The sequence below is a fragment of the Homo sapiens genome, chromosome 9 (genome assembly GCF_000001405.40).
Source record: "Homo sapiens chromosome 9, GRCh38.p14 Primary Assembly".
Lineage (NCBI taxonomy): Eukaryota > Metazoa > Chordata > Mammalia > Primates > Hominidae > Homo > Homo sapiens.
The window spans coordinates 86,127,316-86,141,168 of record NC_000009.12 but is presented as its reverse complement, the minus strand read 5'-3'; the positions used below and the strand labels follow the sequence as shown (position 1 = coordinate 86,141,168).

The 13,853-nt window shown below is 42.5% G+C and overlaps 1 long non-coding RNA gene and 1 pseudogene across 1 annotated transcript in view; both read right to left on the bottom strand.

Annotated features, from left to right (window-relative positions):
• LOC101927623 (uncharacterized) overlaps positions 1–13,629 on the bottom strand; it is a 29,547-nt gene extending 15,918 nt beyond the window's left edge. The window contains exons 1-2 of the long non-coding RNA NR_110996.1: positions 12,088–13,629; positions 11,841–11,939 (exon numbers count right to left, since the gene is read on the bottom strand). This is a non-coding gene — a long non-coding RNA (uncharacterized LOC101927623). The remainder of the gene's footprint in view (positions 1–11,840; positions 11,940–12,087) is intronic.
• Positions 6,161–8,545, bottom strand: LOC100287212 (allregulin pseudogene; annotated as a pseudogene).
• Positions 13,630–13,853: the final 224 nt, after the last annotated feature.

Sequence of the window (13,853 nt, the reverse complement as noted above, 5' to 3'; positions counted from 1 at the left end):
GACTTCCTAACCATTGCTGCTACCACCTTGAACCTATCTCCCATAAGGAAACCCTGAAAACTTCCCTTATCTAGTGCTCCCTCCTTGCTGAAATCTGTGTCTTTAGGCTTGATGCAGGCGAATGTAATTTGCACACTATCTCTGTGCCTGAGGTTTTATTCTCAGGTTTTGGATTATCAGAGTGGACCCTAAATGAAGTCACTTATAGCCCTATTAAAGGGAGGCAAGAGGCTGGGTGCGGTGGCTCACGCTGGTAATCCCGGCACTTTGGGAGGCCGAGGCAGGCAGATCACGAGGTCAGGAGATCGAGACCATCCTGGCTAACATGGTGAAACCCTGTCTCTATTAAAAATACAAAAAATTAGCTGGGCATGGTGGTGGGTGCCTGTAGTCCCAGTTACTTGGGAGGCTGAGGCAGGAGAATGGTGTGAACCTGGGAGGCGGAGCATGTAGTGAGCCGAGATCCCGCCACTGCACTCCAGCCTGGGCAACAGAGCGAGACTCCATCTCAAAAAAAAAAAAAAAGGGAGGCAAGAGAGATTTTTTTTTTTTTTTTGGAGACAGAGTCTCACTCTGTCGCCCAGACTAGAGTGCAGTAGCACAATCTCGGCTCACTGCAACCTCCACCTCCTGGGTTCAAGAGATTCTCCTGCCTCAGCCTCCCCACCAGCCACTGTGCCCAGCCTATTCAGTTATTTAAAAGGTGCTAGACTTTTAGTTAATCTCTTCAGGATTGGGAGGACCTGGAAGAAAAAGATCTAGCTATGTTAAGAGACTCTTTACAGATCTAGATTTTCCCCCAGAAAGGATGGCTTTGCAGGGCCATTTAAAGATATGGCAGAGAAACATGTTTTGGGGTAAAATATTTTGATTTTCTTCCTTGTCTTGTAATGTTATGCCAGAGTCAGATTGGAAAGTAAGTCACAATATATAGGGTTAAATAAAATCCATCTGATGGGAATTTATGATTTGTAGGAGATGACTCCCCAGACCCCTTAGATAGGAATTTGGGCAAGATAAAAAAAATCAGAGCTTAGTACCCGTTTGCTACAGTGGCTCCAGGAAATAAATCAGATTGTCTAAATGATTCTTATATCCATATAATAAAATACTATTAGCCCATTGCCAATGATCATGAAGAAGTATACTTAGTGATATGGAAGATATACTGAGAGGACAGTGCTTGCTACAAAACTGCAGGACTGATTTGTCACATATACAGTTGATTCTCATTATTCACAGATTCCATATTTTGTGAATTTGCCTACTCACTAAGATGTATTTGTAATCCTAAAATAAATGCTTTTGTGGTCGTTTGTGGACACCTACAGAGTAGTGAAAAATTTCAGTTGCCTTACGAGCACATTCTCAGCGAGGTCAAACAAGGTGATGTTCCACCCTCTTATTTCAACTCTCACACTGTATCCAAAAGTCCTTTTGGCTATTTATTTATTATTATTATTATTTGAAACGGAGTCTGGCTCTGTCGCCCAGGCTGGAGTGCAGTAGTGCGATCTCTGCTCACTGCAACTTCCGCCTCCTGGGTTCAAGGGATTCTCCCACCTCAGACTCCCGAGGAGCTGGGACTACAGGGGCACGCCACTACACCCAGCTAATTTTTGTATTTTTAATAGAGACGGGATTTCACCATATTGGTCAGGCTTTTCTCAAACTCCTGACCTCAGGTGATCCACCTGCCTCAGCTTCCCAAAGTGCTGGGATTATAGGCATGAACCATTGTGCCCAGCCCCTTTTTGCTGTTTATTTAGTGCCATGTTTTTCACATTTTTGTGCTCTGTGTTGGTAAATCCATTGTTTAAAATGTCTCCCAGTGTAGTGCTAAAATGTCCAGTGTTTCTAAGTCCAAGAAGATTAGGATGTGCCTTACAGATAAATCATCATCATGTATGTTAGATAATCTTTGTTCAGGAGTGAATTAAAGTGCTCTTCATCATGAGTTCAGTGTTAATGGATGAAAAATATATATTAAATAAGGTGTCTTTCAACAGAAACATGCATAAACCAAGACTATGTATTGCTCAGTTGCTGAAAATGTTGTGACAAGAGGCTCACAGGCACCTAACCCTGTATTCCCCTAGGAGTAATGTTTTAGTATTCACTAATTCAGTGTCAGTGGTGACTTTATAGAATATAACTGCTGTGAATAATGAGAATCAGCTATACAAACATTAAATGAATTTTTTATGATACATGTGTACAAACACATAGACAAATCTGAAAGAATATGCACAAACCTATGATCAGTGATTATCTCAAGGTAATGCGTAGAATTCTGGTCTTTTACATTTTCCTCTTTTTGCCAGTTTTCATTTTCTAGTTTTTCTTTCTTCTTTTTTTTTTTTTTTTTTTTTGAGACAGAGTCTCGCTCTGTCACCCAGGCTAGAGTGCAGTGGCATGATCTTGGCTCACTGCAAACTCCGCCTCCCAGGTTCAAGCGATTCTTCTCCCTCAGCCTCCTGAATAGCTGGGATTACAGGCATGCAACACCATGCCTGGCTAATTTTTGTGTTTTTAGTAGTGACGGGGTTTCACCATCTTAGCCAGGCTGGTCTCGAACTCCTGACTTCAAGTGATCCGCCTGCCTCGGCCTCCCAAAGTGCTGGGATTATAGGCATGAGCCACCGCGTCCAGCTGAGATTACTTCTTTTTCTCATTTCTCTTCCTTGCCTAATTTTTCTGGCTAGAGACTCAATTACAAGGCTGAAAAGAAGTAGCAATTGCAGATATCCTTGTCTTCAACTCCATCCAGGTTGCTGTGAATGCCATTATTTCATTCCTTTTTATGGCTGAATAGTATTCCATGGTATACATATACCACAATTTATTTATCCACTAATTAATTGATGGGCATTTGGGCTGGTTGCATATTTCATAATTAAAATAAACATGGATAAATTCACTATCAAAATAAAATAGGGTCAAGCAATTCTTCTGCCTCAGCCTCTCGAGTAGCTGGGATTACAGGCATGTGCCACCATGCCTGGCTAATTTTGTATCTTTAGTAGGGAGGGGGTTTCACCATGTCGGTCAGGCTGGTCTCGAACTCCTGACCTCAGGTGATCCTCCCATCTTGGCCTCCCAAAGTGTTGGGATTACAGGCATGAGCCACTGTACCCGGCAACCAAAAATTTTAAAATATACAACCTTTCAACTTATTAAGAATATATTTTATCCTTATAGGGATCAAATTTTGCCCTGATAAAAAGAAAAGAAACATTAAAGTGTTGCCAATTGAATAAAAACAAACACTGATATGGTTAGAAATATTAGTTTTAGATTTAAAATCCTGGATTTAAGTCTCAGCTTCATCACTACAACTGTATGATGTTGGCCAAGTTATAAAATTGACAAGAGCCACATGTCAAGTATAAGAAAATTTAAATAGCAAGAGAAGTCTGAATGAAAATGCTTGCTTTGTCATTTGCCTTTGTATGTCCTTGGACAAGTGACTAAATTTCCCCGTGCCTCAGTTTCCTCCTCTGCAAAAAAATGGGGGTTGACAACCTTCTAGGTTTTTGGTCAGGATTAAATGAGTGAACACATGCAAAGCATTTAGAGCAATTCCAATCCCATGGTAAGCCCTTCCATAAGTGCTATTGTTCCCTCTCCACTAGGTAACTACCAAATCTTAAATGAGTTTATAAATATCAAGCACTTCACACAGTACCTAGTGCACCAACTCATGATACCTTTCATGATAATCCATCAATCCAGGATTCAGTGTTGTTGGTTTTGTTGTTGTCATTGTTGTTGTTTTTGAGGCAGAGTCTCGTTCTGTCGCCCAGGCTGGAGTACAGTGGCATGATCTCTGCTCAATGAAGCCTCTACCTCCTGGGTTCAAGTGATTCTCCTGCCTCAGCCTCCCGAGTAGCTGGGATTACAGGCACATACCACCATACCCAGCTAATTTTTTGTATTTTTAGTAGAGACGGGGTTTCACCATGTTGGCCAGGCTAGCCTCGATCTCCTGACCTCAGGTGATCCACCCGCCTCGGCCTCCCAAAGTGTTGGGATTACAGGCATGAGCCACCACGCTTGGCCCAGGATTCAGTTTTGATGTTGACATTGTTGAAAGCTGAGCAACTCCTTCAACAGGTTGAAGGACTACCAATCTGTTGATCAAGCAAGACCATGGTGGCTACCAGCACAGTCACAGCAGTGTCTCAAGGGTAAGGCTTCAGAGGTTTGGTGTAAGGTAGGTCCTTCAGTGCAGGTGTGGGACCTGACCAAGTGTAGGCAAGATTTGTACTTTAATAGGTGCAGAGAGGGCAGGGCATGGTGTCTCACGCCTGTAATTCTAGCACTTGGGGAGGCTGAGGCCAGTGGATCACCTGAGGTTGGGAGTTTGAGACCAGCCTGGCCAACATGGCAAAACCTCGTCTCTACTAAAAATACAAAAATTAGCTGGATGTGGTGGGTACCTGTAATCCCAGCTATGCAGGAGGCTGAGGCAGGGGAATCGCTTGAAGCTGGGAGGCGGAGGTTGCAGTGAGCCGATATCATGCCACTGCACTCCAGCCTAGGCAGCAGAGCGAGACTCCGTCTCAAAAAAAAAAAAAAAAATTCAGAGAGGAGATTTCAGCTTTGAACTGAGCCTTAAGGAACAAAGAGTTGTTTGATAAGCCCAGTCGATCAAACTGCTTTTCTGAAAAGGGAGCTATTAACCCTGATAATAAGAGATAGTTGAGTCCACAGTTCAGATAAATGGGTTTCCAGGAAGTTTTTGGCATAAACCATAAAGTCATTTGCAATGTTATCTTCCTGGGCAAGAATTTCCTGGAAGAATAAAGTCATGTTAATATTGATCGTCTCAGCCTGGCCCAGTGGCTCACATCTGTAATTCCAGCACTTTGGGAGGCCGAGGCGGGTGGATCACTTGAGGTCAGGAGTTTGAGATCAGCCTGGCCAACATGGTGAATCCTTGTCTCTACTGAAAATACCAAAAAAAAAAAAAAAAAAAAAATTAGCCAGGCATGGTGGCTGTGATCCCAGCTACTTGGAAGTCTGAGGCCCTACAATCGCTTGAACCAAGGAAGGGGAGCTTGCAGTGAACCGAGATCGCTCTACTGCACTCCAGCCTGAGCAACAGAGCAAGACTCCATCAAAAAAAAAAAAAAATATATATATATATATATATATATATATATAAAAAACAGTCCGTAGTCTTAATTAAGCTGTGTGACTGTGAATGGTTTCAGATTAGTGTCCTTTAGTGCCATTGTTCTTAATCAAAGCAAGCCTTTCTAGAGCTTATGAAAGCAGGAAAACCAATGAAATTGAACTTGCATATAGGGACAGGCATTTGGAGCTGATCGTGTCTTCAGAGACCAGATCTAAACACAAGGAGACAGATGAAAGTCTTCACATATCTCAAAGAAAACCTGTTCTATTTGTCCAGAAATGTGTCTTTATTAAATGTGAGACTTAATAAAACTAGCAGTTAAAGTGATAAAACATTGATTGTAGTTTATGACAGTGCAGATGCCAAGCATCTTTGAGATAGATGTCCCTGGGACCTGTAGTTGCAAGTGAGCTCATGTACCTGGGTGTAAGAGCAGGCCCAGGAACCACGTGACCACAACGCGGTTGAGGCTGCAACAGAAGCTGCAGTGATACGCCTTTCTCACAGCTGTTGCTGTTGCCTCTTCCCACTCTGCCTAATCTAAAATACATTTTCTCCTTGAGCCATCCTTGCTGCAGGGAAGCGTCTGTCAATACTGCAGTTTGCCTTCATTTGTGAAATTCTAGTTGTTTTTTTTTCCCCACTGCTCCTTCCATAGTGAGCTAAGTCAGTTCCTGATCATGCATTTCTCTTTTTTTTATATGTAAGTAAACATTTATTAGACAAAGCCATTAGCAAGCAGTGGAGAAACAGTTTATACAGTCTGTCTGCTACACTCAGGGCACTCTGTTCTGTATTCCTCTAGATGCTTCAATCATACCTTCCAAAACTGGGTCTCTTTAGGGAGATGCAACAGCATCCTAAAAGCATAATTGCATAACTGCTTAGTTTATAGTCAGCATCAGGCAATTAAAAATCTTCAAAATCAATTCCAGACTTGCTAACCCTAAGAGCCATTCTGAAAGGTAGGAGGATTAATACGGATTTTTTTTCTTTTTCTTTTTCTTTTTCTTTTTCTTTTTTTTTGTGACAGAGTCTTGCTGTCTCCCATGATAGAGTGCAGTGGCACGATCTTGGCTCACGGCAACCTCCACCTCCCGGGTTCAAGCAATTCTCCTGCCTCAGCCTCCTGAGTAGCTGGGATTATAGGTGCATGCCAATTTTTAGTAGAGACTGGGTTTCACCATGTTGGCCAGGCTGGTCTCAAACTCCTGACCTCAGGTCATTGGCCCGTCTCAGCCTCCCAGAGTGCTAGGATTACAGGCGTGAGCCACTGCACCCGGAGAGTTTACCAGATATTACGCCCTGTTTATAAGGGAGGGAATATCCTCAAAATATTTAAGACAGTTCACATATTATATTGAATGCCACTAATTTCAATGACAAGAGTCCATTTCTAACATTCCTCATATAAAGCCTTTAGGGCTAGCAGGGATAGCTTCTCAGGTACTTACAGTAGCTGCTGTGGGAATGTGGCCTTTCTGGTTAAATACTAGCTGATCACCTTTAGAATGCAAATTCTTCTTAAATAAAATTTCGATTTAAATAACAAATGAGAATGTAAGCTCCACAAAGGCCAGAATTTCTGTCTGTTTTGTTCATTGCAGCGTCTAAAATAATGCCTGATGAATAGTGAGGGCACAAATATTGGTTGAATGAGTAAATATCACGCTGATTTTGCTGAAGTATTTAAGCAAGTTACAGACATTGTAAAAATAAATGTTTTGGGACGGACGCGGTGGCTCACGTCCGTAATCCCAGCACTTTGGGAGGCCGAGGTGGGCAGATCACGAGGTCAGGAGATCGAGACCATCCTGGCTAACACGGTGAAACCCCGTCTCTATTAAAAACACAAAAAATTAGCCGGGTGTGGTGGCGGGCGCCTGTAGTCCCAGCTGCTCCGGAGGCTGAGGCAGGAGAATGGCGTGAACCTGGGAGGCGGAGCTTGCAGTGAGCCGAGATCGCACCACTGCACTCCAGTTTGGGCAACAGAGCGAGACTCCGTCTCAAAAATAAATAAATAAATAAAATAAAAATAAAATAAATGTTTTGGCCACAAGCATACTTACTGTAACAGTAATAAAAAATATGCTTGAACTACATACTCCTTAATTTTAGGGGGCTCAAGAGTTTAAAGGAAAGGGGGAGATATCCAAGTAAGAGAGCATGCATGCTAACTTTCCAATAGCTGGATGTTATCTACTTTTCTTAAGACTATATCAACCTGTTGATCATGACCTGTCTTTTCATAAGAGTCCCACTTAATCTAAAAATTAGGCTGGAACTTAGAGCCAATAAATACATTATGGGCCTGCATTTCCTGTATATCTTTTGTATTATAGCCTCCATGCCGTCTAAGAGCACTTTGTTCCTTCTCTCAAAATGCTTCCCCGCTTTTAAATAATTTACTTTTGAATTAATAAAAACATCACCTTATTAATCATCATATTATTTGCATCATATTAAACCCTGATCAGCCCTTAAAATGTTAAAGAAAAGACATTACTATGTTTCTTAATGAATACACAAAATCCTTCAGTACAAATACTTTTATATTCAGCCCCTGTAAAACCATCAGCTGTTGGAAACGTTTTTAAACATGAACCAAAGGGTCTAGTTTTAACAACTTAGCTATGAGTGGGTGAAATCCTACCCATTTCATAGAGTTCTCCAAATTAATAACAATATATATTAGTCTATTCTCACGCTGCTATAAAGAACTGCCTGAGAATGGGTAATTTATAAAGAAAAGAGGTTTAATTGACTCACAATTCCACAGGGCTGGGGAGGCCTCAGGAAACTTACAATCATGTTGAAAGTGGAAGCAAATATGTCCTTCTTCACATGGCAGCAGGAAGGAGAAGAATGAGAGACAAGCGAAGGGGGAAGCCCCTTATAAAACCATCAGATCTCATGGGAACTCATTCACTGTCACGAGAACAATTACCTCCACCTGGTTCCACCCTTGACACATGGGGATTATTACAATTCAAAATGAGATTTTGGATGGGGACACAGCCAAACCATATCACAGTGTAAAATAAAAGGATGGTCCCTTAGAGCTTTGAAATTCTTCTACTGACAGTCCTATCTTCTTTATTCAAGAAGTATGTAGTCATTTTCAGAATTCACTCCAGGGCCAACTTCTTAATGTAGATGTCAGTAAATCAGTGATGGCAAAAGGTATGCAAAGAAGAAAACCACATCAGAAAGGATGCAAAGCCAGAGATCCAACCAGCCGGGGTGTTGGGGAAGCCCGTTTGCCCCGGACTGAGGCTGCACATCGAGGTTCTGCTGCTATCTCCCAGCCTTGCTCAAGCCTTGCCACTTCCAGGGACCATCTCAACCATCTACAACCGGTGCGGCCACCTTCATCTCACTGCAACTTCGTTGCAACCCTAGTCTCTGTCTTATTTTGACGAATGTCAGCATTTGCTGTTTTCTTCTCCATCCAAATACAAAGCTGTTCACTTCTTCTCCTGGTCTCATTTTCCACGCTTGTTCAGCTTTCTCCCTTGTTGGATTTTCCCTACTGCCTTCAATAATCATAGATGTACATACAGTGGATATCTATGTATCTGATGGCTGGAAATTCTAGAGTACTAACATTTGCAAACAGTGATAAAAGCTGGAATTTATTTTGAAGGGAAAATTTCCATCAGTTCAAGGAGGAATCACATTGGTGAGCCCTTTTAGTCACATGGATATAAATGAAGCTTCTACACAAAAGTAGGTGCTGTCTACTGAGACATTAAGCATGCACTGTAATTGGTATGTTTTGAAAGGCCATCCTTGTTATGGACTGGCATGGCTCTGCAGAGATTACTGGGTTGTTTAGCAATTTTGGAGGGTGGGCCAGAGAGTAGCAGAATGAGAGAGGGGGACTCCTAAGGAAGAAGGAGAGGTGCTGGCCCCAGCATTGCAGTAGCAGGAAAGGGGGAAGAAGGGATAAGTACCCCTGAAGAGACATGGCCCACTGACTTCCAGAGCTAGGATATCTGATGTCCAGTGTTAAACTTTTCTTTTCTGTATTTTTAGTTTGTGAGTGGAGTTGGTTATAGCTAACAATGTTGTATTCTTGGTGCCTTAGGGGAAAAAGAGAAATAAAGGCCTGTGCCCCTACTTTGGAAGGAAGCAAACCCATTGTATCAGTGAGACAGCCACAATATCAGTAAGGATTAGGTTCACTTGCAAGTGAAAGGTAATGGAATATGACAACATTTCAATAATGTAAACAAAGTCCAAAGTCAAACAGCCTAGGACTGGTGTGGGGACTCCATGACCATCAGGAACCTGGGGTCCTTTTATTCTGTTGCTCCACCATCTTCAACATGTCACATCCACCTAGGGTCCAAAATGACTACCTGACTGACAGCTGCCAGGTCACATTCTCAGGAAGGGGGAAGGCAGTGAAGAAGGTTACTCCCCCATGTTTGAGGGATAGCTCCTCAAGCCCCACATGATATCTCCATATCTAATTGACCAGAACATACTCCCATGACAGCATCTAGCTGCAACAGAGGCTGGAAGATGTAATTTTTATTTTGGATGCCCATGTGTTCAATTAAAAACCAGAAAAACCAGAAGTTCTATTAGTACAGAAGGGAAGACTGATGTCAGCACTGTGGTATACATAGTAATCCCCCTCCCCCAGAGTGTTCATGCCCTAATCCCAGGACCTGTGAATATGTTATTTTACATGGCAAAAGGGACTTTGCAGGAGTGATTAAAATATGTATCTTGAGATGGGGAGATTTTCTCATATTATCTGGTGGACCCAATGCCATCACATGAACCCTTAAAAGCAGAGAATGCTTCCTGGCTGTAGTCAGAGGGAAACATGATGACAGAAGGAAGGAACAAAAAATGCAACGTTGCTGGCTTTAGCAAATGGAAGGGGACCCTGAGCCAAGGCATACAGGTGCCCTCTAGAAGCTGGAGGAGGTAAAAGACCAGATTCTTCCCTAGAGGCTTCAGAAGGAATACAGTCTTGCTGACGCCTTGATTTGAGCCCAGTGAAACCCATGTCAGACTTCTGACCTACAGAATTGTAAGATAATAAATTTGTGTTGTTCTAATCCACTAAATATGTGGTAATTTATTATAGCAGCGTAGGAAACTAAATCAGGCATACAACCTGCATTCAGAGTCTCTGCTACAGCCATGCAGGCATCAGAGTTATCCAGGGATGGCCAGAGGCGGGAGAAACCCAGAGCACACATCCACAGCAAGAAGTGGAAAACAACAACAAATGAATGTATAGAAATTCGCAGACTCACCAGGATCCTTAGAAGTGATCCCGGGCTTTCTGAAGAATGAGGCCTGCATTGTTACTATTTAAGTATTAAAGGAAAGGATGACTCTCCCTTCTTGCATAATGCAAAGCTAGTTATATTACCCCCTCTCATCCTCAAAATCTGTATTCTTAGACAGAGAACTGTGGCAGGAAATAGATGTTAACTATCTAAAGAACGCGGGTGGTGTGGTGGGAAGCTAAGGCTAAAGGACCCAGATTTCATCCATCCATCCATCCATTCATTCATTCAGTACCTACAGAGTATTTATAAAGTCTGGAAACAGATTTTACAAGTTGCAGATGTCCTTGATGACACTGTGCACGTTTGCCTATGTGTTCAGACTTTGTGGACATCTTGCTGTGTGCCCAAGAAAGCGGTGAAGCAGAGAGTTGGGGGCCTGCCTGCAAGGAGCTTACAGTCTACCAGGAGGGCAAACAACTAACTGAGTGATGGCTCAAGAGAAGGAGGAGCTTCACATGACGGATGCATGCTCACTAGTTCAGAACATGGCTCAGCACTTACTATAGTCTGACCTTGAGCAAATTTTTTTTTTTTTTTTTTTTTTAGATGGAGCCTTCCTCTGTCACCCAGGCTGGAGTACAGTGGCACAATCTCAGCTCACTGCAACCTCCACCTCCCGGATTCAAGCAATTCCCTGCCTCAGCCTCCCAAGTAGCTGTGATTACAGGCATCTGCCACCACGCCTGGATAATTTTTGTATTTTTAGTAAAGATGGGGTTTCACCATCTTGGCCAGGCTGGTCTTGAACTCCTGACCTCATGATCCACCCGCCTCAGCCTCCCAAAGTGCTGGGATTACAGGTGTGAGCCACTGCACCCAGCTGACCTTGAACAAATTACTTCTCTGTGCCTTTATTGTAGAAAACAACTTCTAGAATTGTTGCTAGGATTCAATGAGTTAACACACACATAGAACAGCTCCTAGCACATAATAAGCAGCTAAATACTTATTAGCTACTACTATAATTGGTACCAGCCATGTGACCTGGAGAGTGGGCTTCATTTCCTCATACCTCCCGGGGTCTGCCAGGTCAGATGCAATAATGGGTGTAAAAGACATTTATGTACTGTTAAGGTACATCACAAAATGTATAGTATCATCACCACAGATTTAGTTACTTCTAATGTTGATTGTTTACTGTCCCTACAGGTAAGCTTACAATGTAGGAATCTTTTTGTCTTCTGTCACTGATGCATCCTGACCTCCAAAAACAGTGCCTGGTACATAAAGCACTCAATAGAGAGTTGTTGAATTTCTTGAATGGATCAATAAATTAATGAACAACTAAATAAGTGATCCTGGCTGTCTGAGTCAGTTCAAATGGCCATAACAAAATATCACAGATTAGGTGGCTTAAGAAACAGAAATTTATTTCTTACTCTCCTGGAGGCTGAAGTCCAAAATCAAGGCACTGGCCATTTTGGTCCCTGGTGAGGGCTCTCTTCCTGGCTTGCAGGTGGCTGCCTTCTTTGTGTGTCCTTACATGGCAGAAAGACAGACAGAAAGAGAGAGGGACAGGGAGAGATAGTGAGGGCTGGTGTCTCTTCTTACAGGGGCACAAATCTCATCACTAGGGCCCCACTCTTATAACCTCTTTAACCTTAATTACTTCCTCAGAGGCCCTACCTCAAAATACTGTCACTTTAGACGTTAGGGTTTCAACATATGCATTTTGGGAGGACACAATTCAGTCCATAACACGGCATGAGTGCACACATAAATTTCCATAAACATAGAAACAAAAATTCCGTAAATTCACTGTGGCTTGTCACCTCTTGACATGAACTTCTCTGAGCTCTGGCCATCTCAGGATACCTGCACCACCACCATTAGCACCGTGGCCTTTGTCTTCTTCGCAAGGTGAGTCTCTCCCAGGTTCCCCTGACTGCAGCTCTAACAAGCCAATTGTCCAGTGTGACCAAGGAAGAAGAGTCTTGCAGATTTTAACCAAGAAAGGGAAGGTCCAGTTGGTCTTGTCAAAAGACAAAATTCCAACAAATATAGTTATAGATCTAATTGGCTTTTATTTGCAATTCATGAATCAGGGCAGCTTCCATTCTACAAAACAGCATGAGGGTTCCTGCTGGACAGCAGCAGAACAGTGGGTTTTGTAAGGTGAGAACAAGGAAATAGGAAAAAAAAAATTTTAAAGTCGGATTGGCTAACATGAGGTTACTTTTTGTGTAAAAATTAAAGCAGAGAGGACTTCCTTATTGCACTGACACAGGTAGACTGGAATCTTCTGTTCTCAAGAAAAACTAGTCTATGTTGGATCTATCTGCTTCCTTAAAGCTTCTATTTGATGACGAGGCATTTAGCATGAATGACTCCATTTTGGTTTGGTCTCGTCTGTTGGGGCCTAGTACAGGAGTTCAGTCCAAAATAACGGGCTCCCATAATTTTGTTTAACAGCCTAAACTTAAGTTCTTCAGTGATCTGAATCCTCAGCTAGACCAAAATCTTCTGCTAAGTTGCTCTCCTTTTGACTGTCTGGCTGAGCTGTTGAAGGCCACAAAATATTTAGCAGGTAAAAGTACTGTTCAGGAACTATAATAATTTATTTTGTATTCATGGTGCTTTTCTGGCTTATAGAACATTGTTAATAAGTTGCTGTAATGTGCGCTTATATTTATGAATTTATAAACATTATGAATAATGTGATGATTATTGAGAGGCATATTGCCAAATATCCATAAACTGATCATTAGTCTATCTATGTATTTATCATTGTATATAAATATGTCAGTTTTGTTTTCAGGGAAAAAACTGTTTGCAATCTATAACTTCCAGGGCTCTTATCTCTGAATTGAACATGTGCCTAGGGGTATCAAACAGAACAAGACTCCAGATAGTAAGTAAATAGTCCTTTTTCTTATGACAGCTACTTAATCTGTAACAAAACAAGCAAACATAAAAGCTAAGTGATATCTAAAGCTTACCACCAAGAAAATAAGTTAGCAACTGAACAAAGCGCCTTCCTTCAGGCTAGATCTTACATACACACACAGTATCGACTTCAAGCCACTTCAGAAGAGACTCAGAAAGCTGCTGCGCCTGGCCTTGCCCTTAGGTTTGTTAGCTTCAGGGTCACAGTCCCAGCGGGGAGCTGACCCATTAGTCACACCTGCTTCACAGCCCTGCCAGCACTCACGGGGCCCAATGAGAAGCCACAGGCATGTTGGTAGCCAGGCCAGGAGACCCAAGGGCCACGCCCATAGTTCTACAGAGTCATGTTAACCGTGGTTGTTATGGAGACAGCCAGTGTTCTTCATGAATGTGTAGCTGTTTTGTCACTCTGCCTGGGTCCGGGGACAGGCTGGCTCGTTACAAAGGCACCCACTACTGAAGACAGGCTCAGAGGCAGGAGTGGCCCAGCCCTGCCTTGTAGATGC